The following is a 23,702-nucleotide window of genomic DNA, read 5'->3' as shown; positions in this document are numbered from 1 at the left end:
CTGGCAAAAGCGAACTGCATACCGGCCCCACAGCAGCATTTAGGGGAGAGTGCCCACAATCCCTCAAGCCCCAGAAGAAGTGTTACAGTGCCCTTTTAGCTTTGCCGTCCATGGCCAGCTTCAGTGTTAACAGCTCAGTGGAGGGTCAGTGTGACAGCCTTTTGCACTCACACTCATGGCACCTGAGTTCTTGCCTGGTGTCCAGGAGGAATCAGGTCACATGAATGAAAAGATGGTAAATGTGGGGGATTTTATTGCCAATGAAAGTGGCTCTCAGTGGCAAAGGGAGCTGAAAAGGGGATGGAGCAGGAAGGTAATCTTCCCTTGAAGTCTGGCCATCCCCAGCTGGACTCCTCTCTAAAGCTATGCTGTCAAGCTGTCCCTCTGAAGTCAAGCCACTTCTCAATCATATCCAACCACAGTCTGCGAAGTCCAGCTGCCTCCCCTCTCTCTGCCAGTTGAGCCTGGGGTTTTTATGGGCACGGGATGGGGGACAGAGCAGGCCACAGGTGGTTTTGGAAAAGGCACCATTTGAATGGGAAAACAGGGATGTAAGTTCTCACTTTGGGCGGCAGTATCAGGCTTTTCAGATTGAAGGTGGGGCCTTGGCTGGGGAACTGCCCTCCCAGAATTTCTCTGCCTTCTGTTCCTATGACGATCATGGCTCACTACAGCCTCAAACTCCCAGGCTCAGGTGATCCTCCCACCTCAGCCTCCCAATTAGCTGGGACAACAGGCGCACATCACCACACACCTTGCTAATTTTTTTGTACCCATGGGTTTTCACCATGTTGCCCTGGCTGTTCTTAAACTCCTGGGCTCAAGTGATCCTCCTGCCTCAGCCTCCCAAAGTGCTGGGATTATAGGCATGAGTCACTGCACCCGGTCTGAGTTTCCTGATATTTTTTGGCTTTTATGGGTACCAGGAGTATTTTGTATTGTAAGAGCACATTACCTTCGGGTGTGTTACGGCTGGTGAGTCACTGGCAAGTGTAATCTTGGAGGTGGCAGACTACAGTTGTGGCAAATGGTTACTACTATAGGGGAGTACTCATTTCTTTGAACATTTAGATAAGAAATGTGAAGTTTGGAAACTTGGAGACTGTAGGAACACTTAATACTGGAAAAAAAGATACCCATGAGAGATGGGCTGATCACACAGTGGGCTGACTGGCACTGGGCCATCCACCAGCCCAGGGGGAATACCTTTGCAGCAAGGTGCATGGTGGAAGTGTTGCTCAGCCTGGCCCATGACATTTCCCTCTTGGGCTTTTAACACAGCTCTGAGACACCCAGGACTCCATGTAAAAACAGGGTCTTTGATTTCTGAGGATCTGGGTGTTCTGCCTTCCAGCTGTGCTTGCTTTTCAAATACATAAGTATTAGGCCCTGAAAACTGCAAATGCTTTGTTGGCCCTATTCATTAATGGGCTCTGCACTGAGCTCAGTGGTGCAGCTGGAAAATGAAGACCAAATTGGAAACCACCCATTTGGAAATGGGAGTTCAGCTCCGTCTGAAATGGGGGAGGGATACAATGATTAAGGGAACCCATTTCTAATAGGTACTACATTGAAAACTACCTAAAATTGGTCTCCTTATATGCTCTTGTAAATTCCTATGATTCTGTGTTAACCTTGGCATCCATTTTTAACCTCCCTTTACCTAACACACACAAATTTCTTCTTAAAAATGTTTAAATTTGGCCAGGTGCAGTGGCTCATATCTGTAATCCCAGCACTATGAGAGGCCAAGGCAGGTGGATCACTTAAGGTCAGGAATTCAAGACCAGTCTGACCAACATGGCAAAACCCCGTCTCTACTAGAAATACAAAAATTAGGCCAAGCATGGTGGCTCATGCCTGTAATCCCAGCACTTTGGGAGGCTGAGGCGGGCAGATCACAAGGTCAGGAGATCGAGACCATCCTGGCTGACACAGTGAAACCCTGTCTCTACTAAAAATACAAAAAAAAAAATTAGCCGGCTGTGGTGGCACACGCCTGTAATCCCAGCTACTCGGGAGGCTGAGGCAGAAGAATTGCTTGAACCCAGGAGGCAGAGGTTGCAGTGAGCCGAGATCGCGCCATTGCACTCCAACCTGGGCAACAGCGTGAGATTCTGCCTCAAAAAAAACACAAAAACAAAAACAAAAATTAGCCAGGTGTGGTTGCAGGCGCCTGTAATCCCAGCTACTTGGGAGGTTGAAGCAGGAGAATCGCTTGAACCTGGGAGGTAGAAGTTGCAGTGAGCTGAGATCACTCCAGTGCACTTCAGCCTGGGTGACAGAGTAAGAGTCTGTCTCACCAAAAAAAAAAAAAAAAAAAAAAAAAGCTTAAATTCTCTCTCTCTGCTTTGAGGTGTAGATTTGCTGCCCTATATTCTCTACAACTCAGCTATGTGGGACAGATTAACTTGTTCCATTTACAGGGCCACAGTTTTAATCCAACTGTCCTTTCATTTATTTTTATTATTATTTTTTTCTTTAGAAACAGAGTCTCAGTCTGTCGCCCACACTGGAGTGCAGTGGTGCAATCACACCTCACTGCAACCTCCAACTTCTGGGCTGAAGTGACCCCACCCACCTCAGCCTCCCAAGCAACTGGGAATGCAGGCACACACAATCACACCCAGCTATTTTTTTTTTTTTTTTTAATTTTTTGGTAGAGATGAGGTCTGGCTACTTTGCCCAGGCTGGTCTCAAACTTCAGGCCACAAGCAATCCTCCTGTCTTGGCCTCTTCAAGAGTTGATGTATTAGTCATTTTCACATAGCTGATAAAGACATACCTAAAACTGGGTAAATTATAAAGAAAAAGAGGCTTAATGGACTCACAGTTCCACATGTCTGAGGAGGCTTCACAATCATGGTGGAAGGCAAAAGGCACATCTTACATGGCAGCAGGCAACAGAGAGAAAGAGAGCCAAGTAAAAGGGGTTTCCCTTTACAAAACCATCAGATCTCATGAGACTTATTCACTACCACGAGAATGGTCTGGGGGAAAACGCCCCCATGATTCAGTTATCTCCCACCAGGTCCCTCCCACAACACGTGGGAATTATGGGAGCTACAATTCAACATCAGATTTGGGTGGGGACACAGCCAAACCATATCAGTTGGATTACAGGTGTGAGCCACTACTCCTGGCCCCAAATGTCCTTTTAAATTAGTGAGTTTTTTCAGTCTCATGGCTAAAATTTTATTTTATTTTTGAGACAGGGTCTCACTCTGTCACCCAGGCTGGAGTGCAGTGGTGTAATCATGGCTCACTGCAGCCTCAACCTCCTGGGCTCAAGTGATCCTCCCACCTCAGCCTCCCAAGTAGCTGGGACTACAGGTGGGTGCCACCATGCCTGGCTAATTCTTAAATTTTTTTGTAGAGACAGGGTCTCACTGTGTGGCCCAAGCTGGTCTAGAACTCCTGGGCTCAAGTGATCCTACAGCTTTGGCCTCTCAAAGTGCTGGGATTACAGGTGTGAGCCACCACACCCAGCCTCTGCTAGATGTTTCAAAGTCATAAAACAGTTGTTTTGTGACATTTTGAATACTTGCTTGATTTGTCCGTGAGCTTATGTCTCTGGTGTTGAGCCTTTAGATTCTGGGGTCCAGACAGGTGGCCGTGGTGAGGCTTGGATTTAGTTTGGGGATCCACCAGGGGTAGATCTGATGAGATCTTGAGGCCGGGAGTTGAACACCAGCCAGGGCTTAGGTTTTATGGACACACAAGGCTTTGCATTGTGGACTTGCTCTGAATTCTTTCTTGCCTGAGATCTAAGAACCGTCTCTGGGAGCCTGGATTGGGACCCCTTTCCTGTAACAGATCTACCTCCTACTGGGTCCCCAAACCAGAACTATTCCTAGAGAAGGATGTCTCCTTTCCTCAAAAAAGAGAGCCCATAAAACTGTTGGAGGTAAGGGCTGTGCTAAAGCAAGCAGTGGTTTCTGATGGGCGGAGCCTCCCCTCACGCTTCCTGCTGGCAGATGTGAAAAGCCCTCCTTCAGAAATACGTCTATGAGTTATTTCCCAGATAAGAGCAATACACTCGGCCGAGCGCGGTGGCTCATGCCTGTAATCCCAGCACTTTGGGAGGCCGAGGCAGGTGGATCACAAGGTCAGGAGTTCGAGACCAACCTGGCCAATATGGTGAAACCCCATCTCTACTAAAAATACAAAAATTAGCTGGGCGCGGTGGTGGGTGCCTGTAGTCCCAGCTACTAGGGAGGCTGAGGCAGAAGAATCACTTGAACCCGGGAGGCGGAGATTGCAGTGAGCCGAGATCATGCCACTGTACTCCAGCCTGGGTGACAGAGTGAGACTACATCTCAAAAAAAAAAAAAAAAAAAAAAAAGCAATACACTCTCACATCTAATCTCCACCAGCCTCTTTCACTAAAAAATATCTGTGGAGACCCACCATGTTGAATAAAACATGCAGAACTCATAGGGTGAAAAACAACGGTGCAAGACCTGTTGAGAAGGGGGGGATTTCTTTCCAAGTTCAGAGGGGATGGATCGGAACGTTTTTGTCCAAGAGAGGTAACTGCCTATTTATTCTCTTCTCAAATGGAGTGGTATTTACTGGACGGGCCCCAGAAGCTGGGCCCATAACAATCCAGAGAAACTGAACTCCGAATGCTTCAAAAAGCCCTCAGTAGGAAAGACACTGGGAATCAGCGACTTTTCTGGAAAAGAGAAAAAGGGATTCCTCTTCCAAATTCACTGGAACCTGGTGAGGAGCCGTGGTTAAAGGTCACTGAGAGCTGAGCCCCAGAAGCCACTCGCCCTCAAGCGGTGATGAACTTTTCATTTGTGAATTTGGTGCAGCAGGTCCAAGAGGTTCTCTCTGGCTTATTCATTTAATTTCTGACACAAACAAAGCACTGGAACAACTGAGGGGTGAATACGGCAATTTCCCTTTAAAGGAGGTCCACTAGGAAAATTATTTACTGTAAAAATTTTTAAGAGCAACTTTCCTCCCTAGAAATGGGAAGACTGCGGTTCTGGTTAGTCCCGATTTGAATGATCTGCACAGTAATGTGGAGATAAACGTTCACCCCTAGGCCTCTTCCATTCATTTATGCCGGGAATTGGGTGAGACCCCAGCTGCACCCCTGCAAGGGAGCCAGGGCTGCAGGTCTTCCTGGGCCAAAGCTGCTGAGCGGGTGATCGGGGAGCCGGCGTCCGCTGCGGCCCAGCCTGGCGGAGAGGAGCTTGCGAGACTCAACCCCACCTCCCAAATTTCTGCGCGGATGCGCGCAGGGCGTGGCGAGATGAGCTCAGCGCCCCAGAGCCCGCCGGGCTCCAGGCCCACCTTGGAGACCCCCGCTCCAGCCGCCTGCCCCTCCTCTCCACTTCCCTGTAAGCACCAGGTGTAGGGCAGCTGCCTGCCCCGGAAAGCTGCTTGCACTTACTGGGGATGGGGAGGTGGGGGCCGGGGAGGGGAACCGTGCGAAGCCAGGGGACCCCTGGAGAGGGTTGGGGAGGAGTGGTGCTGGAGAGCATGGAGGTCTGACCCGAACATCGAGAAGGCTCTGGAATTCTAGACAGTCTTGCACCAGTCCCTGGTAGAAAGAGACCGAAACTGGGAGTGGTTGGGGCCCAGAAATTCTTCCAGCGCTTTAGGTCCTTCCTCTTTCCTGGCCTTGGTTTCAACTCAATTAGATAATACGATACTGGATAATTTCTGAGGACTTATCAGAGTCCCCAGAATTCTCAGAATTTGCTGATAGGAGCAGTTACATAGGAGCGGGGGGGGGGGGGGGCGGGACTTTTAGAAGAAATTATGTTAAGTAGACTGATGATGGTGAGACACAGGTTTTTGAAAGTGACACGAAGGATGGAAGTAAATTCTAATTCAACACACAATAAATGAGCATGCAAAGTAACTTTTTGTTTTTGTCTTTTGAGACACGGTCTCGCTCTATTGTCCAGGCTGGAATAGAGTGGTGCGGTCTCAGCTCACTGCAACCTCTGCCTCCCAGGTTCAAGTGATTCTCATGCCTCAGCCTCCCAAGTAGCTGGGACCATATGCCACACCACCACGCCAGGATAAAATTTTTTATTTTTGTTTTGTAGAGACGGGGTCTCCCTATATTGTCCAGGCTGGTCTGGAACTCATGAGCTCAACTGATCCTCCCACATAGGCCTCCCAAAATGCCGGGATTACAGGTGTGAGCCACCACGCCCGGTCCAAACATATGAATCTGGGGGGACATAACTGGAATGAATGTTTATGTCCCCCTAGATTCCTATGTGGAGATCTTAACCTCCATTGTGATGGCATTAGGAGGTGGGGCTTTGGGAGGTGATTAGGTCATGAAGATGGAACACCATAAATGGAATTAGTGCCCTTATAAAAGAGACCCCAGAGAGCTCTACCCACCCCCACCATAGAAAGATAGCCCTCTATGAACCAGGGAGGGGATCTCCACCATTTGATTATACCAGCACCTTGATTTTAGACGTCTAAGCCTCCAGAAATAAATGTTTGTTCATGTCACCCAGTCTGTGGTACAGGTTGAGTATCCCTTATCCGAAATGCTTGGGAGCAGTGGCGTTTTGGATTTTGGATTTTTTTAAATTTTGGAATATTTACAAATACATAATGAGATATCTTGAAGATGGGAACCAAGCCTAAACATAAAATTCATTTTTCTTTCTTTAAAAAAAGAAAAGCCAGTGTCTTGCTCTGTGGCCCAGCTGGAGTGCAGTGGTGGGGTCATAGCTCGCCGCAGTCTCAAACTTGGGCTCAGCCAGGTGCCATTGCACCCTTTTTAAAAATGTTTATTGATACAGCCTCCCTATGTTTCCCAGACTGATCTCAAACTCCTGGCCTCAAGCAATCCTCCTGCCTTAGCCTCCCAAAGTGCTGGGATTATAGGCATGAGCCACCACACCTGGCTCATTTATGTTTTATATACATCTTGTAGTTATAACCCAAAGCTACTGTTGTACAATATTTTAAAGAACAGGATATAACCATCACAAGGTCAAGTGTGCACTTTTCCACCTGCGGCGTCATCTTTTCTTGTCACTTGGCCAGTGAACCACAGACCTGCACCTCTCTCCTGGCCTTGGGGCTACAGTTTGTCCTTCTCAAATAGGCTAACTGAACCCTGCTACCTGTTAAGATGCCCTTAGCCTGATGAGAACCTTTCACTAACACCTTTGTTGTCTTTTTTGTTTGTTTTCAGAGACAGGATTTTGCACTATTGCCCAGGCTAGATGCAGTGGTGTAATCATAGCTCACTGCAGCCTTGACTTCCTGAGTTTAAACAATCCTTTCAAGGCCAGACGCAGTGGCTCATGTCTGTAATCCCAGTACTTTGGGAGGCTGAGGCAGGCGAATCACTTGAGGTCAGGAGTTCGAAACTAGCCTGGCCAACCTGGTGAAATCCCATCTCTACTAAAAATACAAAAATTAGCCGGGCATGGTGAGCACACCTGTAGTCCCAGCTACTCAGGAGGCTGAGGCAGGAGAATTGCTTGAGCTCGGGAAGCAGAGGTTGCAGTGAGCCGAGATGGTGCCACTACACTCCAGCCTGGGTGATGGAGCAAGACTCTGTCTCAAGAAAAAAAAAAATCATCTGAAGTAGCTGGGAATCTAGGTGTGAGCCACCATGCCTACTTAATTATTTGTTTTTTGTAGAGATGGTGCCTTTGCTGGTCTTTAACTCCTGGGCTCAAATGATCTGCCCACCTTAGCCTCCCAAAGTGCTGGGATTACAGGCATGAGCCACCATGCCTGGCCCACTTTGTTGCTTGAAAGACCCATTATAACATGTGACAGTGTTGATGAAAAAATGATGATACTACTGATTAAAGAACAGTTAGGCAGACTTTATTCAGGTGGCCAATGGAGATAAGTATAGGGACCACCACAGCAGTGTTTTACAGTGGGGAAGAGAGATTGGGCTCAACTCTGAACACAAGTAAAGGTGGAAATTTATAGCCAAGGAGCAGGGTGGGGGTCAGCAGAAAATTACTAAGAAGAAACACCATGGGCATGGGGATTCTGGCTGAACGGACCTAACAGGACTCTTGCTGAAGGCAGGCCATGGTGATCAGACTTTACCCGGGGGATGATGGAGGACAAGGAACCTGATCAGATATCACGGTGATCAGATACCACATCACCAGAGGCATGATGGAGGATGAGGAACTCAATCAGATATCAAGGGTGATCAGTATCAACGGTGCAGGATTCTGGCTAAACTGACTTAGCAGGATTAGACAATGTGCAGAGATAAACACAGAAGCCCAAAAATCAGGGCTTGAGAAGAGTTCAGGGAGCATGAGTAGAGTTTGGTCGAGAAAATCTTTGTCAATAGCAGTCCTGCTTTTTTTTTTTTCTTTTTTTTTTGATACAAAGTTTCCCTCTTGTTGCCCAGGCTGGAGTACAGTGGTGCGATCTCGGCTCACTGCAACCTCCGTCTCCCAGGTTCAAAGGATTCTCCTGTCTCAGCCTCCCAAGTCGCTGGGATTACAGACCTCTGACACCACGCCCAACTAATTTTCTGTATTTTTAGTAGAGACGGTGCTTCACCATGTTGGCCAGGCTGGTTTCCAACTCCTGACCTCAGGTGATCCACATGCCTCCCAAAGTGCTGGGATTACAGGTGGGAGCCATGACACCCGGCCTAGTCCTGCCTTCTTCTAACAGAATACAGCAGGAATTATCAGAGCATGTGCCTTTCTTGGGGATGCAGGCAAAAAATCATAAACTCCAGCCTGCAGAGTAAAAACCAAATTCTTCAGCATGGTGTACCGGGGGGCCTCCAGGTCTTATTGCCAAGTCTGTCACACAGTTCCCTCCAAATAGTGTTTTCAGGAGGCTTGGCCAGGCGCGGTGGCTGGCGCCTGTCATCTCAGCACTTTGGGAGGTCAAGGTGGGCAGATTGCTTGAGGCCAGGAGTTTCTGAGACCAGCCTGGCCAACACGGCAAAACCCCATCTCTACTAAAATTACAAAAATTAGCCGGGCATGGTGGTGCATGCCTGTAATTCCAGCTACTTGGGAGGCTGAGGAATGAGAGTTGCTTGCACCCGGGAGGCAGAGGTTGCAATGAGCTGATCGCACCACTCCACTCCAGCCTGGGCGACAGAGTGAGGCTCTGTCTCAAAAAAAAAAAAAAAAAACAGGCCCCACCTTTGTGTAGGTCTCCTGGATGCCCTTCCCTCTTTCTTTTAAGCTGGGGAATCCCCAATAAGCCTGAAACAAAACCTAAAAGATGCCCCCTTGGAGCCACCCCTGGCTGATGACAGGGCAGGGAAGTCCAGAGCTAATGTGGACCTGCTGATTGTCCTGCTAGTTCTTCTCCAAATGCACTGTGCCCTAGTCACCTGTAGGCTGCCCCTCCTGGCTGTGAACACCTCTGTAGGGAATGAAGCTTCTTGTTCTTGGGGTTAAGATGATACCCCAAAATGAAAACCTCAGTAGCAGCCTCAGAAGCAAATTTTCTGACCTTCTCCTGCCTTCCTGTCTCTGGCCTCTCATTTTCCCGAGGCCAACAATAGAAACTAGAATTCTTCTCCAAAGTGAAACCAGAACCCCCTTTTCCCTAAAGCCAGCCATTATACCTAAAAATATTAATCTAACTTCCCCCAACCTTCTGTATAAAAACTGACCATAAATAAATAATCTGACCTACCTTTTTTGATGGTAGGTCATAAGAACCCCCCCCACCATTCCGTAGAGGGGCTGCCCCATAGCCAGAAGACATGCTGCACAGGAAAGCCAGGAAGAATCTAAGCAGATGCCCTGCTGGCTTTCCCCACTCAGCCTGTTAGCCTTAGATCATGCCCTTTTCCCCAATCATTTCTCTGCGTTGCTATCTACACTTTGTTGAACCTCAGCATAAAAATAGACAGTTTTCCGCTGGGTGCGGTGGCTCTCGCCTGTAATCCCAGCACTTTGGGAGGCTGAGGTGGGCCGATCACCAGGTCAGGAGTTCAAGACCAGTCTGACCAACATGGTGAGACCCCCATCTCTACTAAAAATACAAAAATTAGCTGGGTGTGGTGGCATGTGCCTGTAGTCCCAGCTACTCAGGAGGCTGAGGCAGGAGAATCGCTTGAACCCAGGAGGTAGAGGTTGCAGTGAGCTGAGATTGTGCCATTGCAATCCAGCCTGGGTGACAGAGCGAGACTCCATCTCAAAAAAAAAAAAAAAAAAATAGACAGTTTTCCCTGTGTCTCTGGGCCTTCATTCTGAAGGCCTCTGAGTCATTTAGAACTATGAGTCATTAGAACTACGATCGAACAAATCTGTATGCCTTTTCTCCTATTCATCTGAATTTTGTCAGTTGATTTTTCAGCAGATCTTCAGAGGGCAATTCCCTCGGCTGCTACGCTGTCTTGTTGGTGGGAGGGGGGACTCACCAGGGAGGCATTTTGCTCCTCTCCCCGGGAGGTGCCGCCCGCCTCGTTGCATTACTGTCAGTCTCACTTATTTCATCTTCCGATTGCACCCGTGGGGTTTCCAGGTCATCCAGAATAAGCCCCACTTGCTCACGCTTGAGTGAGGCTGCTGTCTGATTTGATACCCAGTAAATGCCAAGTTGAATTAACTCAGAGGGAAAGAAAGAAAGGCACTGAGATCTGTTGGCAATTATCTCGATATTCCATGAGACAACTCAACAAAAGGCAACCAGAATTCAAAAGAGCTGATGGATCGGAGTTGGAGGACATTGTCAATTTTAACCAGTGAGGTGTGGGAACTAAAAGGCAGGGGAAAAGCAGGTCATGGGGTGTGTGCCTGTAATCCCAGCTACTTGGGAAAATCACGTGGGCCTAGGAGTTCAAGATTGCCTGGGCAATGTGGCAAGACCTCGTTTCAAAAAAAGGAAAAAGTGGGCCAGGCACGGTGGCTCACGCCTGTAATCCCAGCACTTTGGGAGGCTGAGGTGGACGGATCACAAGGTCAGGAGTTTGAGACCAGCCTGGCCAGCATGGTGAAACCCCGTCTCTACTAAAAATACAAAAAATTAGCCGGGCGTGGTGGCAGGCACCTGTAGTCCCAGCTACTTGGGAGGCTGAGGCAGGAGAATGGTGTGAACCCGGGAGGTGGAGGTTGCAGTGAGCCTAGATCGCACCACTGCATTCCAACCTGGGCGACAGAGCTAGACTCCATCTCAAAAAAAAAAAAGTGTTGGTGGGTAAAGCTGAAGGTGACAAGCTTCAAGTCTCAGTGCAGGGTTTCAGCTTTACAAGACATTTAATGTGAACAGTCTGGTAACAATCATTATAAAACAAGCAGAAAAGTAGGATGGCAGCAAGTTTCCTAAGACTGTCAGTCAAGTCAGTGGGTGTCAGAGGAAACAAGCCTCTGTTGTGTTTCCCAGGGCTGCTGTCATGATTGCCATAAACTGAGTGGCCTGAAACAACAGAGTCAGAAATCAAGGCATCTGCAGGGCCATGCTGTCTCCGAAGGCTCGGAATATGGACCCCTCCTTGCCTCCTCCTAGACTCTGGTGAGTGACAGCCAATCCGTGGTGTTCCTGACCTGGTACACATCCCTCCAGTCTCCGTCTCTATCATCTCACATGGCCTTATAGGGACACCTGTCATTGGATGTTGGGCCTACTCTAACTCATGATGACCTTTATCCAGTATCATCTTAACTTGATTACATCTGCAAATATTCTATTTCCAAATTAAGTTCACATTTTCAGGAACCAAAAGTTAGGACATAAACCATGTTAGGGGACACAATTTTACCCATTACAAGACCCTCCCTGCCACCCCCATTTGCACATGCAGTGAACTGGGCCTGAAGGAACGGGGATGGAAGAAGACTGGCAAAATTAAAAAAAACGGTAGCTACAGAGTGCTAAGGAATTCCTGCTACAGATCATGCTATGCTTATAAGATTTAGTGGCCTGGCATGGTGGCTCACACCTGTAATTCCAAGACTTTGAGAGGCCGAGGTGAGAGGATGCCTTGAGCCCAAGAGTTCGAGACCAACCTGAGCAACATAGTGAGACCTCACCTCTACAAAAAATTTAAAAACTTAGCAGGGCATGGTGGCACATGCCTGTAGTCCCAGCTACTTGAGAGGCTGAGGTGGGAGGATTGCTTGAGTCCAGGATGTAGAGGCTACAATGAGCGGTGACTGTGCCGCTGTACTCCAGCCTAGGCAACAGAGATCCTGTCTCAGAGAAATAAATAAATAAAATAAAAGACTTAGAGAAAGTACTTGGAATGTTTGGAGATAGAGAGGAATTCAGAATACTTCATGTGGGAGCACAAATAACTGGCAGGTGGCGTCTGTATTAGGGTTCTTCAGAGAAACAGAACCAGCAGGATGCAGATTGAAACACATAAATGAAGACGGTATTCATTATGGAAACTGGCTTGGATGACTGTAGAGACTGAGAAGCCTCATATATGCAATCTGCAGGCTGGAGAAGCAGGGAAGCTATTGGTGTAACTCTCGGTCCGAGGCTGAAGGCCTAAGAAACTGGGGGGCCACTGTCAGAGTATGAAGCTGCAAGAACCTGGAGCCCCAGTGTCTAAGACCAGGAGAAGGTGGGTGCTCTAGCTCAAGAAGAAAAAAGAATTCCTCCTTCATCTGCCTTTTCACTCTCTCTGGGCATTCAACAGATTGGATAATGCCAGCCCACATCAGTGAGGGCAAATCTTCATTACTCAGTCTGATTCAAATGCCAGTCTCTTTGGGAAACACCCTCACAGACACACCTGGAGTTACTCTTTTACCAGCTATCTGGTCATCCCTTAGCCCAGTCAAGTTGACACCGAAAATTAATTATTACAGTGTTCAATGGCAGAAGGGCAGATTAAGATACACTAAAATGAGAAATGTCATACACTATAAAGTTTAAAAGTTTATATGCAGCTAATAGAGGAGGAAGAAGGATTGTGATGAGCAAGCACCTGCTAAGTATCTCTAACTCTGCGCTGGGTATTTAAGTGCCAGATTTTGTTCTATCCATTTGGGCCAGGTGTATCAACAGTTTATGAATGGAAAAATTAACCCATCATCTCCCACCACTTAAGCAACACAGATAGCAAGGGGGCAGAAATAGAATTGCCCTGTATGTGGGTCTGACAGAGGGAAAATACCCAGGGTAGGGACAGCATGGCTTAAACTGCACCTTAGTGAGCAGGCTGGAGAGAGATGCTGAGGTCAGGAAGAAGTCTGTGCTCTGAGCTGGAATCAGGACACATATCAGGGTGTGAGATCCAGGATGAGGTCTGTACTCTGGGCTGGAATCAGGACACATATCAGGGTGTGGGATCCAGGATGAGGTCTGTGCTATAAGGTAAAATCAGGACACACAACAGGGTCTGGGATCCAGGATGAGGCCTGTGCTCTGAGCTGGAATCAGGACACATAACAGGGTGTGGGATCCAGGATGAGGTCTATGCTCTGAGCTAGAATCAGGACACACATCAGGGTGTGGGATCCAGGATGAGGCCTGTGCTATAAGGTGAAATCAGGACACACAACAGAGTCTGGGATCCAGGATGAGGTCTCTGCTATGAGATGGAATCAGGACACACATCAGGGTGTGGGATCCGGGGTGAGGTATGTGCTGAGCTGGAATCAGGACACATAACAGGGTCTGGGATCCAGGATAAGGTCTGTGCTCTGAGCTGGAATCAGGACACACATCAGGGTGTGGGATCCAGGATGAGGTCTGTGCTATGCTATGAGGTGAAATCAAGATATAGGTTAGGGTTTCTAAGTGGGATTGCACAGAAAAAAATAAATCTAAGACACATTGAGGCTCCCAGACTTTTTATCAATTGGCAAATACTAGATGTGAGGAGAAAAATGTGGAGTTGTCAGAGGTGACTTGAATTTCAGAAAATGCTATGGAAAGAGTAAGGTGGCAGGAAGCTGAACAGAATTGATATTTACTTGTTTTGTTTGAGACAGGGTTTCACTCTGTTGCCCAGGCTGGAGTGCAGTGGCACAATCATAGCTCACCTCCTCGGCTCAAGTGATCTTCCTGCTTCAGCCTCCCAGGTAGCTGGAACTACAAGTATGTGCCACCTTGCCCAGCTAATTTTTAAATTTTTTGTGGAGATGGGTTCTTGCTATGTTGCCTAGGCTGGTCTCAAACTTCTGGACTCAAGTGATCCTCCTGCCTTGGTCTCTCAAAGTGCTGGGATTATAGGCATGTGTGAGCCACCACACCCAGCCAGATACTTTTTAAATTTTCCTAAGTGACATGGCATACAAGGAATAGCTGGACATAAAATTCCAGAACTGTGAGTAAGGATGTTTTCCCCCTTTACTAGATCGACCAAAACACTGTCCTACAATACCAGAGGAGTTTACTCTGGTATTTACTCACCCAAGAACCAATCACCCCATTTGAGGCCTGCAGCAAACCCTTCTTTTCTGGAAGGCAGAGTCCAAACACTACTCAGGGCTCCAACTTCCCGGGATGGTGGTGAGAATTAGGCAATACAATGCAGATAATATACCTAGCAAATGCTGAACATATTCCGTACAAAGTCTACTTCCCCATCCCTCCCTCATTCAGACACACACACATACCCCTGTAACACTGGGTCCCTGACCACTATCCTCTTTCTCTGAACATCAGTTTCCCTCCTGAAATTCCAAGGATGCTAGGATTCAATGCATTTAAGGAGCAGACAACAAAGACGATCACAAAGGATCAAACTCACATTCATGGAAACATCTGCGGAACTGTAACATCAAGGCGTTTCCCTCCTAAGAGCATCAAAACCTCTCCAGGCTGGGCGCGGTGGCTCACGCCTGTAATCCCAGCACTTTGGGAGGCCAAGGCAGGTGGATCACGAGGTCAGGAGTTCAAGACCAGCCTGACCAACATGGTGATACCTCGTCTCTACTAAAAATACAAAAATTAATCAGGCGTTGTGGTGGGCACCTGTAATCCCAGCTACTCAGGAGGCTGAGGCAGAAGAATCGCTTGAACCCAGGAGGCAGAGGTTGCAGTGAGCCGAGATGGCGCCACCGCACTCCAGCCTGGGGACAGAGCGAGACTCTCTCAAAACAACAACAACAACAGCAACAAAAACAAAAAAAAACCTCTCCAGGAGCGAATGTGAGAAAATCTACAAGATCTGTAAGGACTGAGAAAAGAGAACAGGCAGCCCTGCCTTTCATCAGGCTAAGAAGACAGACGAGTAACCCACTGTGCATTCACAGGACACGTGGTTTTCCCCAAGGTCTTGCCAAAGCTTCGAAACGCCACAACGCCCGCTTGACAGATGGACTCCTGCTTTCTAACCAAGAACGCCCTAGACCCACTTGCTGCACTCATTTATGACTGGGGGAACGCAACAACCAAGGCATCCTTGCCTCCTGACGGCCCATCACCCTCAGTGAACCCCTACTTCTTCTGAGCCCCCCTCTAAACAACAACCAGTGCAGATGCGACTCCCACTTCCCTGATACATTATCAATTATTAAAACTTCATACTTCCATGAGGCCTCAGTATCACACACAGGCTGTGAGTCCCCCAAGCAACTAGGCACACTGGTGTGATAAGCCTGGTCTCTGCCTCCAGGTCCCCTTCTTGCCTTCCCCCGACTGTGACCCAGCGACATTCCAATGCACCAGTAAAATCCCCTCATACCTTCTGCTTGTGTGCCCCACCCTGACCCCCCGACACAGGTACTTGCCCACGGGTTCTCTCTCTTTCTCGACCCCCCACCTGCACTGCAGAGCCTGGGCCCTTGGCTCTCATCCAACACGGCCCTGCACGCATGCGGTGCCTCCCTCTCCAGGACCTTGGAGCAGCATAAATCCTGTACTTTCATATCATTCTTGGACTGTAATTGCTGCAGCCACTTGGGAGTGATTCTTAAAGATCCCACAAGGGAGACTTACTCCCACACTTACATCACACCTGACATCATCCTCCTCCTCCCCTCCCCCTCTTCCTCCTTCTCCTCCTCCATCCGGAGCAAACCTCGCAAAAATACTTCTCCCATTATCAAGCCATATTCCAGCCTCCTCTGGGTGCCCTCCCCCGCTCACTGAATCAAGACGATAAATCTGGTCATTTCTGCAAATCTGAATTTGTCAAGGCACAAGCTTGTCCCTGATGGTCCAGCTGAATAAACATGAACAACCCAATGCTCAAGAATAGCTCCAAATACCAATGTTTGGGGTCTTTATTTTCTTGACTGTAGCATCCAACGCTGATTTCCAGGAAAAAGATGTCATCTCTTTAGTGACAACTTGGCCACTTAAAAGAGGTACTTTCACTGGAGCCCCTGAGAGTGGGTTATGTCAGCCTACCTGCAAATCTCAAAGTGTTTTTGCTTTCAAAAAAAGAAAAAATAAAATAGATGAACAGGCCTCTGTGACAGCTGGGAGGCCTCTATAGTGAGAAAATGTCATCATGCAAAGCTGTTTCACTGAGCAGCTTCTCACTGACCCCTTTCCACAGGCCACAATAAGGGACCAGATTAATGCCTTGCTGTCCATGCCCCCTAGATGTCTGTGACTAACACAGTAAGAACTAGCACTACTATTCCTAGGACTGTTCCTAAAGCCACAGTTTATTGAGTATCTACTATGCCCAGCTTACAACAGAGCTTCTCACATTGCAAAAAGCATGCAAGTCCCTGGTGCCTGGTTAGCCGCGCAAGCTGTGGTTGGGGCCTGTGGGTACTGACAGCTCCCAGAGAAGGCAGGTGTGGTTGGTCCAGTGATGGGGCTTCACATATTTGCACACCTGTATTTGTCATCAGTCTACAAGCATATTATGCGGAATGATGACCTCCTCTGCAGGGGGTGATGTCACAGTGGAACGGCTGCCCACCTGGGGGGCGATGTCACAGTGGAACGGCTGCCCACCTGCAAAGCACTGGGGCTTTAGGTTACACATCACATTTCCTTGTGCACACTTCACTTTCCAGGTTATATATAATTCACCCTTTCCTTTGTTATCGTCCATTCACCTTTCCACTCTGCAAGATGGCCGTCTCACGCCCTCTTCCTCCTGCTCTCACATTTCACCCTCTCTTTCTCCCTGTCACTTAAGGGCCCTGTGTAGCAGTCAGGGTTCTCCAGAGAAACGGAACAAATAGCATGTGGAGTGGGGGGAGGGAAGGGGGTGGGGATAGAGAGCTAGAGATCAATAGAGAGAGATGAGGGAGACTGTTTTCTTTTAAGGAACTGATTGGCTTGCAAGTCTAAAATCTGCAGGGCAGGCTGCAGATCCAGAAAGCCGAAGCTGCAGCAAGTCGGAAGGCGCGCCGCAGGGGGAGTTCCTTCCTCAGGAGACTGCAGTCTTTGCTCTTACGGCCTTCGACAGATTGGATGAAGCCCGCCCACGCTATGGAGGGTAACCCGCTGCATTCAAAGTCTACAGATTTAACTATTAATCATATCTAAAAAACAGCCTCACAGAAACACCAGACTGGTGTTTGAACAAAAACTGAGTACCACAGCTAGCCAAGTTGCCTCATAAAATAAAACGTCACACTTGCTCCTTATTTTACTGGAGTGTTGGCAAAGTTGGAAGAAGCCTGCCCCAGGCTCTCCCTGCCCAGATGCTGTGGACATGCCTCAGGTCCAGAGGCAGCCTTCCCTGCCCTCCGGCTCCCCGTGGGCCCTGGGTGCCAGCCCTCCCTCCTCCAGGCGATGCACTGCAATTTCTCCCATCTTTAAGATGAGACCGTTTTTCTCCACAGGGCTGTGTCCACTCTCATCTCCCTTCTCTTCCAGAAAGTGCCCTAGCCCAGGAGCTCCACTGTCTGCTTTGCTCAGGGGCCTCTCTACCAGATTCAATGGGCAGTGTTCTTTCCTCATCGGATTTGATCTTGGCGCAGGATTTATCCCCCTGACCTCTTTCTCTCCTTGAAACACAGGTGCTCACTTGGATTCCAGGGCTCCACACCTGCAATTTTCCTTTTATCTCAAGGCGGCAGCAGCTCTCCCTACCCCCTTCTCTTGCCCTCGTCCTCCCTCACTTTCCTCCTCCTACTTCCCCTTCTCTCCCTTCTCCTCCACTAACCCCTTGGGCTCCCACGGTCCAGGGCTGGCATTTCGCAGGGTCTGCCCTCCCTGGGGCTGCTTCTCAAAACACACTCAACCCTCTCAAGCCCCAGCTCCTGCTACATACGGTGACTCCAGATTTCCACCTCCAGCCACAGCTTTCTATCCCAGAGGGTCATCCCCACTTGTCTCCTGGGCATCTGAAAACCAGCAAGTCCCAAATCCACCAATTCAACCCCAAACCCAACCCCTTCCTGGAAACCTGCTTCCTTGCATCTGCCATCTCTAGAAGGCCTGTTCAGTCACCCAGTTTCAGCCCCAGTCACAGCCGTTCCTCACTCCTCTAACACAGGCAGCATGCCTTCAACACAGAGCCTGGATTGGGCCTACTGTTCACCAGCTGTGCCTCCACCAGTCAACTCCAGGAACCGAGCATCTCCTGCCGGGATCTCTACAACGATTCCTAACAGAGACTCTGCTTCATCTGTTCTGCACAGTGATCTTGATAAAATCAAGATTCCGTTAGGCCACACTCCTACTTGAAACCCTCTAATGACTATAACATCTGGTGACCTGGTTCCAGCCTCACCATTCTCTCACTATTCCTCTGCCCAGCTGAGCAAGCACACGCTGTTTCCTCTGCTGGAATACTCTTCCCACACACCTCTGCTCAGGAGCCCCCCACCTGCTCTCCACTCAAATGTCACCTCCTGACAGAGGCCCTACCTGAACATCCCCAGCACACTCTTCCCCACCATGTTGTATTTCTTTCATGACACCGATCACCAATGGCGTTATATTGCAGAATCGCTGATTTATTATTTGATTCCCCTCCCAACTCCTTGGATCATTCTTCTATGGTCTCCCCATGGATCGAATAATCATTGGCACATAGCAAACATTTCATAAAAACAGATACAATTGGCAACATTATATTCATACAAACCTAATACACGCACACACTGGGCATGATGATGGTGCAGTCCTTGAGCAGGGTTTACAGGCAGGATCCTCTTCCCGATGCTTCACCCGTGGTATCTGATACAACCCCACTTCATTCAGAGGCGAACACCTTCCCCACGGGCTCCTGTGCCCCCACCCAGCTCTATGCCATCCCTCTCCTCTCACTCACCAGCCCACCTTGCTTCGCACCGCTCCCCCTTAGGGCCTTTGCTGTCAAGGTGGTCTCCATGTGTCAAACAGGGACTCTGACCAACTACTTCATCTCAAATACCACCTTCACAGTAAGGCCTGCCTGCCCTCCTCTTTAATACCATGACTGTTACCAGCCCCTCCCCAGCACTCCTGACTTCCTGATGCCTCTCCACTTTCCTTTTTTTCTGTAGCACAGATCAAAGAGAGCAGGTCATGTTACTGATTTTGCTTCCTCCAATAGCCAGTTGTGTTCACAGATGTACCTGAGCACCTGGAAGGCTGGCTGCCTAGCACTCATGAGTGTACAGTAGGTACTCGGTATAGGTTTGCTGAATGACTGAATCTTTGATCCTGCACAACCATCCAATGAGGTAGACAGCATCATCCCTGTTTTCTGGATGAGGAAGTTGAGGTACAGAAAGGTTATGTAGGCCTGAGGTCACCTGGCTAGGAATTCATAGGGCAGGATTTAATCCGGGTGCCTGAGTCCAGAACCTTGACTCTGAAGCCCTGTTTTGAGCTAAATGCAGCAGCAGCATAAACAGCCCGTTTTGTGCCTCAAAAGGTGAACAGTGGGAGGCACAGCTGGGCAGGGACGTGTCAGGTCAGGGGAAGAAACTGAATTGGGTAGTGGGGATTAATTGGATGCTGTCTGCCAGCAATTTCTGCCTCCTGCATTTTATCTGCTTTAGGGTTGCAAGGGGCAGAGCTATGAACACGGATGCCCACTCAACAGCCAGTTCCTGGGCCAATCAAAGGGTTGGGAGCTGTAGCACCAGAGCTCTGGAACCCCACAGACTAGGATGTTTGCTAGAGCACCTAAGCCCTACCAGCCTTTGATGACCCCTCGGTTCCTCCCAATTCCTCTCCTCCATGTCACGGTTCCTGGCTGGTGTTCCTGAGAGTGGGCTGTACATGAGTTCTGTAAATGCCAGTCCAGTTACGTCAAAGGGGGTGGCTCTCACTTGTACCTGTAGGCTCCAGCTAAGATCTGCGTGGCCCTGCCCGGCATCTGGCTGTCATCCGGGAAACAATCACTGTTCACAAACAAGGGCTTCACTCCTTCGCTCGCTCCATCTCCTGCTAAAGTCAGAATGTGAACACTGACAAACAGCGGCTCCCAGTAACTCTGCTAGTCAGAAGTGATTATTCCAGCAGTTCAGAGGAGGAAGTGGCGGTGCCCAGGGCCACGGGATTAGAAGAGCAACGGAGCTAAAGGATCCCGTGCCTCAGTCCAACCACCTTGTTCCCACTTACTCAGCCGGGCCACTTTCTTTGGAGAAACTGATTTCCTTCTGCTTGCCCTTGAAAGGGGATCCGAAGGAAATCGGAGCTACCGGCAGTAGCTACCCTCCGGAAGACGGAGAATCTTCTCCACCTTCTCCTCTGCGTAGGAGAATCCAATTTCGGTGCAGAGCAGATGGCGAAGGGGCCATGGGAATCAGACCTGCTCAGGGACCGGGTTCGCACTTTCTCTCAAGCTCTGGAGCCTGAAAAATGAGCATTCCCCGGGGACGACCCATGTAAGAATTTGGGCTATATTCAGCATAGTGCAGCGGCCAGCAGCCCTGTCTCGGGGTGGGGTCCGGAGGCCCCCATTTCTGCTTGCCCCTCACTGCCACATAACCTTGGGTCAGAGTCCCTCATCCTCTCCCTCCGCCACTGTGCACAGCTGCAACCGTGTTCACTTCAGCGAGCAACGAGCCCCGTGACCCCCACTCAGGGTCAGGACTCACCGCAGCCCCTCTGCGCAAGCCCCGAGGCTCTGCGTGGCCTCCGGATGCGCGGCCTTTCCTAACCCGGGGACTCCGCACGTGGGCGCCAGGCCCGGAAGGCGCGGATGTGAGCGCTACCTTCGGCGTCCCGCAGCGGCAGGAGGGGCTGGGCGGCCCGGGCTTCGGCTGGCGGCGGGGGGGGGGTCGCAGGGGAGTCTGAAATGAGGCGGCCGACGGCGCGCGGGGCCTCCTCTCTCCGCTCCATCCCGCACCCCCAATTCCAGCTTCCATCCCCAGCCGCGACTCCCGGTCGGCCGTTCCGGGCGTCCACTGGCCGCGTGTCCTGGGGGCGCCAGAGAAGGAGAACAGCGGAGAAAAGAGCCCCGGGCCGACCTTCCGGACCGGCGGGCCCGCGGGGAAGCCCGGGCGCGGCGACGTGGCTGACCCACAAAGCCCCCGGCCCGGCGGCCAGGCCCAGGCGCGCGCGGAGCGGGGCGGGCCGGGGGTGTCGGATGTCACCCCCAGCGCACACCTCGGCCGGGGGGCGGGGGAGCGAACCACTGAGATGCGGAGACCTCCCCAGTCCTAGAGCGGAGCAGGAAGTGTCCCAGGGGAGGGAGCCGGAGGGCTCCGGCCTTTCCTTTCCTCGGCGTCCGGCGGGCTCCCGCGGCGGCCAGGCCTGCGCCGCCCGCCAACAGGGACGCGCCGCGGCGGTGAGTGCACCCCGGCTCCCGCGGCCGGCCCCGCCCCGCCCTCCTCGGCCCGCGCCCGGCCTCCGCGGCGCCGCCTCCCAGCCCAGAGCCCAGCGCTCAGGAAGGTGCGGGCGGGGGAGAAAGCAACACCATTGTTTTTCAGGCGCCTCCATTTGCCCCCGAGCCGAGCCGTGGCTTTCCGGATGATCGGGAGACGCGGTCTGGACGGGCCGGGAAAGGAGCCGGGCGCCTGCGGAGACCCCGCCTCAGCGAGTACGCCCGGCCGGGCGGGCTGGGAGGATGAGGACGGCTGCCCTGGACTTCCGCCGCCACAGGAGGGTTTTCGGCCGGACGCCGGGAGGGAGCTCCAGGCTGTGAGGTGAGGAGCCCGGAGCCGGCGAGACGGGAGACGCGCGTGTGAGGGAGACCGAGGGCGCGGAGGGCGGGCTCCCCCTTCCCTGGCCCACAGCGACCTTCTCCTTCCCTTTCTGCCGATCCAGCTCGGTCCCTCCTCCGCGAAAGGCTGGGAGCTCGCTCCGCCCCTGCGGGGCCCTCCTCCGCCTCACTCACGTTAGTTCATTCATCAGGCATCTCCTCCGAGCCTCCGACGCGCCAGGTGCCGCCGTGACAAAGACGGACGCGGCCGTCTGGTTGGAGACGATCCGAGTGGCAGCCCGGGTGGGCGCCGGTGCTCGGGGGGGCGGGCCTGAGTAGTCCTGGGCGCTGCAGGTGTGTGATGGGCGCCGCAGGGGGCCGCCGAGCAGGGCGGGCGGGGCCCACCCCGGGCTCCAGATGCCGGAGCCGCCCTGGAAGCGATCCGGTGGTGGGGAGCGCTGTAATGCGTCCAGCCCGACGCCGCCACGGCCCCCATATGGGTTTCTGTGTATGTTGTTACTTTGGAAAGCAAAGAGATTCAGAGCAGTGGGTGTTTCTGGAACCACTCAGTTGTTCCGTAGCTTTTCTGGCATCACTTGTCTTTCTGTGAAATGGGAGTGAGGCCCGAGTCCCCCTTCCCACCTTGTGAGCTGTTGGAGGTTAAGACGCGGCCACGCTGGACAACCTCGTGCAGATGGGGGAGTGGCAGGCACTGCCGGTCCTAAGGATCACAGAGGCCTGATGGCAGAGAAGGGGACTGTGAGTGTCCCCATGTGCCCTTTCACGGGCCCAGCGTTCTAAAGTGGGAATCATAAACACCAGGTATACTGGTTGCTGGTCTCTTGCCACCCTAGTTGTGGCAAAAGTGTCGGCTAGTTGTCTGCACACCAGCGGGGAGGTGTAGGGACCCCTGAGTCCCACCTTGGGGGTGTGGCAGCTGCAGTGTCCAGGGGTTCTTTGAGGGCTGAGCTGTGCAGTGACGGACCCACTTTTCTGTCCTGGCCGAGGAAGGGCTTTGGCGAGTGTGCAGTTGCCTTCAATGTGGTTTGAAGAGGGCAAGGATAGAGAATAGGGTGGAGGCGAGGTTGAAGGTCAGGGCAGAATTGGCAGAAGGCTCATAGGAAACCACTGATACTTCTAGATGCAGTGTTATTTGTCCCTGGTAGACTGCATGTAGCTGTCTCATGTGATGTTTTCCCTTGCCTCCCATTGCAGACTCTGCTGGGCAAAGCTGATTCTGGCTGGGTTGTCCATCCAGCACGCAGCACCATCAGCCCTCTGCCACCAGAAGGGTGGATTTTCCATTCCTGGATGTGCTTGAAGGCTCATCCGATGCATGTCTTTGTCATTCCAGCTCCATTTGTAAAGGTCTTAATAACAAGAACAGTGACTTCGGCTCCGGAGCTTCAAGATAGTGGCCTGCTTGGCCTGCCCATCTCGGATCTCTCCAGGAGGACCCAGCCACCCAAGGTACCAGAGCGTCTTGATTACATCTGCATGTGGCGCTGTTGGTTTCCTGGGATGCTCAAAACAGCAGTGTCACGTTGAAATGCCACCACTTTCTCCCAGATTTCCTGTCTTGTTCATCCAGTCACCCACTTAACGGGAATCCACACGTAATGGTACTGATGGGGGGAGGGCATCTTTCTGTCTGTTTCATCCTGTGTGTAAAGACCAGCCACACCAACACTCCCTACCTTTCCCAGGGCTTCTCCAAAGGGCTGGTCTCTGAGGGCATTGACAGTTTCCTTGTCACTGTCCCCCAGAAATGACCACAGGAGACCAGAACACTGAAGCC

General features: G+C 50.9%; 1 protein-coding gene and 2 long non-coding RNA genes across 7 annotated transcripts in view, besides 8 other annotated features; 2 read left to right on the top strand and 1 right to left on the bottom strand.

Annotated features, from left to right (window-relative positions):
• The window catches only part of ZNF496-DT (ZNF496 divergent transcript), a 45,179-nt gene extending 23,893 nt beyond the window's left edge, over positions 1–21,286 (bottom strand). Inside the window, exons 1-3 of one of the 4 annotated variants that reach the window (NR_168398.1) lie at positions 20,859–21,286; positions 20,380–20,612; positions 18,762–20,205 (exon numbers count right to left, since the gene is read on the bottom strand). This is a non-coding gene — a long non-coding RNA (ZNF496 divergent transcript). Of the gene's footprint in view, positions 1–18,761 lie in introns of those variants that run through there. The other 3 variants (NR_168399.1, NR_168396.1, NR_168397.1) reach the window with 3 other exon arrangements.
• Positions 15,579–15,873: a silencer, noted in NCBI's record as "tiled region #1744; K562 Repressive non-DNase unmatched - State 14:Gen5'". NCBI's record gives its function as "represses a minimal TATA promoter and a strong SV40 promoter by Sharpr-MPRA in K562 cells {active_cell/tissue: K562}" and the evidence as "EXISTENCE:reporter gene assay evidence [ECO:0000049][PMID:27701403]".
• On the top strand, positions 16,604–17,465 carry LOC124904574 (uncharacterized). The gene is made up of 2 exons (XR_007067004.1): positions 16,604–16,886; positions 17,176–17,465. It is a non-coding gene; the product is annotated as an uncharacterized LOC124904574 (long non-coding RNA).
• Positions 17,027–17,527: an enhancer, noted in NCBI's record as "H3K4me1 hESC enhancer chr1:247499115-247499615 (GRCh37/hg19 assembly coordinates)". NCBI's record gives its function as "activates a minimal SCP1, AML or CMV promoter by ChIP-STARR-seq in primed H9 embryonic stem cells {active_cell/tissue: H9 hESC(primed)}" and the evidence as "EXISTENCE:reporter gene assay evidence [ECO:0000049][PMID:30033119]".
• Positions 19,499–19,793: a silencer, noted in NCBI's record as "tiled region #7964; K562 Repressive non-DNase unmatched - State 2:TssF". NCBI's record gives its function as "represses a minimal TATA promoter and a strong SV40 promoter by Sharpr-MPRA in K562 cells {active_cell/tissue: K562}" and the evidence as "EXISTENCE:reporter gene assay evidence [ECO:0000049][PMID:27701403]".
• Positions 20,906–21,385: a silencer, noted in NCBI's record as "silent region_2046". NCBI's record gives its function as "represses an Ori minimal core promoter by ATAC-STARR-seq in GM12878 lymphoblastoid cells {active_cell/tissue: GM12878}" and the evidence as "EXISTENCE:reporter gene assay evidence [ECO:0000049][PMID:35858748]".
• Positions 20,906–21,625: a biological region, named in NCBI's record as "Sharpr-MPRA regulatory region 5917".
• Positions 21,299–21,593: an enhancer, noted in NCBI's record as "tiled region #5917; HepG2 Activating DNase unmatched - State 1:Tss, and K562 Activating DNase unmatched - State 1:Tss". NCBI's record gives its function as "activates a minimal TATA promoter and a strong SV40 promoter by Sharpr-MPRA in HepG2 and K562 cells {active_cell/tissue: HepG2 | K562}" and the evidence as "EXISTENCE:reporter gene assay evidence [ECO:0000049][PMID:27701403]".
• Positions 21,473–23,702, top strand: part of ZNF496 (zinc finger protein 496) — a 34,453-nt gene continuing 32,223 nt past the window's right edge. For both annotated transcript variants that reach the window (NM_032752.3, NM_001329733.2), the window contains exons 1-3: positions 21,473–21,550; positions 21,693–21,908; positions 23,259–23,374. The gene's annotated coding sequence lies outside the window, so the exon portion shown is untranslated. The remainder of the gene's footprint in view (positions 21,551–21,692; positions 21,909–23,258; positions 23,375–23,702) is intronic.
• Positions 21,516–21,625: a silencer, noted in NCBI's record as "silent region_2045". NCBI's record gives its function as "represses an Ori minimal core promoter by ATAC-STARR-seq in GM12878 lymphoblastoid cells {active_cell/tissue: GM12878}" and the evidence as "EXISTENCE:reporter gene assay evidence [ECO:0000049][PMID:35858748]".
• Positions 22,196–22,435: a silencer, noted in NCBI's record as "silent region_2044". NCBI's record gives its function as "represses an Ori minimal core promoter by ATAC-STARR-seq in GM12878 lymphoblastoid cells {active_cell/tissue: GM12878}" and the evidence as "EXISTENCE:reporter gene assay evidence [ECO:0000049][PMID:35858748]".

The sequence above is a fragment of the Homo sapiens genome, chromosome 1 (assembly GCF_000001405.40).
Source record: "Homo sapiens chromosome 1, GRCh38.p14 Primary Assembly".
NCBI lineage: Eukaryota > Metazoa > Chordata > Mammalia > Primates > Hominidae > Homo > Homo sapiens.
This window is presented reverse-complemented; position numbering and strand designations above follow the sequence as displayed.